The following is a 2,846-nucleotide window of genomic DNA, read 5'->3' on the forward strand; positions in this document are numbered from 1 at the left end:
ATAGACCAATGGAACAGAACAGAGCCCTCAGAAATAATACCACACATCTACAACCATCTGATCTTTAACAAACCTGACAAAAACAAGAAATGGGGGAAGCATTCCCTGTTTAATGAATGGTGCTGGGAAAACTGGCTAGCCATATGTAGAAAGCTGAAATTGGATCCCTTCCTTACACCTTATACATAAATCAATTCAAGATGGATTAAAGACTTAAATGTTAGACCTAAAACCACAAAAACCCTAGAAGAAAACCTAGGCAATACCATTCAGGATATAGGCATGGGCAAGGACTTCATGTCTAAAACACCAAAAGCAATGGCAACCAAAGCCAAAATTGACAAATGGGATCTAGTTAAACTAAAGAGCTTCTGCACAGCAAAAGAAACTACCATCAGAGTGAACAGGCAACCTACAGAATGGGAGAAAATTTTTGCAATCTACTCATCTGACAAAGGGCTAATATCCAGAATCTACGATGAACTCAAACAAACTTACAAGAAAAAAACAGACAACCCCATCATCAAGTTGGCAAAGGATATGAACAGACACTTCTCAAAAGAAGACATTTATGCAGCCAAAAGACACATGAAAAATGCTCATCATCACTGGCCATCAGAGAAATGCAAATCAAAACCACAATGAGATACCATCTCACACCAGTTAGAATGGTCATCATTAAAAAGTCAGGAAACAACGTGCTGGAGAGGATGTGGAGAAATAGGAACACTTACACTGTTGGTGGGATTGTAAACTAGTTCAACCATTGTGGAAGACTGTGTGGCGTTTCCTCAGGGATCTAGAACTAGAAATACCATTTGACCCAGCCATCCCATTACTGGGTGTATACCCAAAGGATTATAAATCATGCTGCTATAAAGACACATGCACACATATGTTTATTGCGGCACTATTCACAATAGCAAAGACTTGGAACCAACCCAAATGTCCAACAATGATAGACTGGATTAAGAAAATGTGGCACATATTCACCATGGAATACTATGCAGCCATAAAAAATGATGAGTTCATATCCTTTGTAGGGACATGGATGAAGCTGGAAACCATCATTCTCAGCAAACTATTGCAAGGACAAAAAACCAAACAATGCATGTTCTCACTCATAGGTGGGAATTGAACAATGAGAACACTTGGACACAGGAAGGGGAACATCACACACCGTGGCCTTTTGTGGGATGGGGGAGGGGGGAAGGATAGCATTAGGAGATATACCTAATGTAAATGACAAGTTAATGGGTGCAGCACACCAACATGGCACATGTATACCTATGTAACAAACCCGCACGTTGTGCACATGTACCCTAGAACTTAAACTATAATAATAATAATAAAAAGAAAAAAGAAAAGTGACCTAGAGAGAAGGGGGTTTGGATAATAATATTCAGTTCCAAAGTCACTCACTGCTACCAAAAACTCTAGCAGGAATCAAAACCACCTCTTTTCCTAAAACAATGGAACTAAAATTTCTGGGCTAGAATTCCACCAGAAAATTTCCAGAATTTCCGGAGTTATAATTGCTCACTTGCATGAGTCGCTGATCAAAGTGTCCTTGGCTGATTTTCACTGGCAGTCATCCTCATTTCATAGGCATCTGATTCACTTCAGCCAGCCTTCAAGTCCCACACCCTCCTTCGTCATCAGCTAAGATTACCCTCATCAGACTGTGTTTCTCATGATACTTAGAGACAAAGAATTCACCAAGTTTTTTTTTTTTTTTAAGATGCTATCCCTTTGAAGTATGCCTTGTAGTCCCCCAAATCCTCTGCTGAGTTTACTTTGATGCATCTATAGTGCACTGGGTGATACTTTCCTATTTAGTTCTAAGATCATTTCAAGAACTTTGTGGAAGGCTTTTTGGCAGTCGAAACCATTTATATATGTGTATATAGAAGTATTTAACATTTGTTTAGTGCAATAATTTTTCTATCTCAGTGAAGAATTACCGAAGGAGTTTGTTCAAAATGTAGTTCATACCTGGAGATTCTAATTCAATAGGTCTGGAATGGGCCTTGGGAATCTATATTTTTAACAATAACTTTCAGATGCAAAGGTGAGAAGACTGCATTCTATAAAACACTTATTTGTTACTATTAATAGATATTAATAGTGTCAGGCAATTTGCTAAAAGCTTTACAGACTTTATTTTATGAAACTATCACATCAATGCTATAATGAAAATATTATTAGCCTCATTTTATAGATGACTAAAGAGGGCTGAGAAAGGGAAATGAAAACCCAAGGTCATTAATCAATTATGTTAGATCAGAAATTCAAATTAAATTAAGTCTATGTAGTTGCAAAATCCAAACTCTTTCAATTACATTACATTATAAAACAAATTCTGATGTTAAGGACATTACAATTCTAGCAAAAAAAAAAATGGCAATTCTCCATGAGTACATCTTGGGTTAAAAAATTAATCTGTTCTTTAGTTGAAATTTATGTATCCATCAATTTATGCTATATTGTGATAACAAACAATTCATGGGCAGTAGTCACTTAACACAACTAAGATTATTTTTCCCTGATGCTCCGTGACTACCTTGAGTTGTGCTGGGAATCCTGTACCATGCTGTCTCCATTCAGGGACACAAAGTTTTGAGCCACTATCATTTAGAACATCACCACTCCCTGTGGCAGGGGAGGGAAATAAAGCAAAAAGGCACCAGCTTTTTTGTTCACATTTCATTAACCAAAGCAAGCTGTATGGCCATATTTAACATTACAACGGTAGTGAAGTACAATTCTACCATGTGCTCAGAAGGCAGAGAGTTGAAAATACTGTAAACTGCACAATGGTTCACAGATAGATTAGAAACTGCTAG

At 37.3% G+C, this 2,846-nt stretch overlaps 1 annotated feature.

Moving 5' to 3' along the window:
- Positions 1,022-2,221: an enhancer, noted in NCBI's record as "BRD4-independent group 4 enhancer chr11:87979456-87980655 (GRCh37/hg19 assembly coordinates)". NCBI's record gives its function as "activates an origin of replication core promoter dependent on BRD2, P300/CBP, MED14 and CDK7 cofactors, and independent of BRD4, by STARR-seq in HCT116 cells {active_cell/tissue: HCT116}" and the evidence as "EXISTENCE:reporter gene assay evidence [ECO:0000049][PMID:35650434]".

This window comes from Homo sapiens, chromosome 11 (assembly GCF_000001405.40).
Source record: "Homo sapiens chromosome 11, GRCh38.p14 Primary Assembly".
Lineage (NCBI taxonomy): Eukaryota > Metazoa > Chordata > Mammalia > Primates > Hominidae > Homo > Homo sapiens.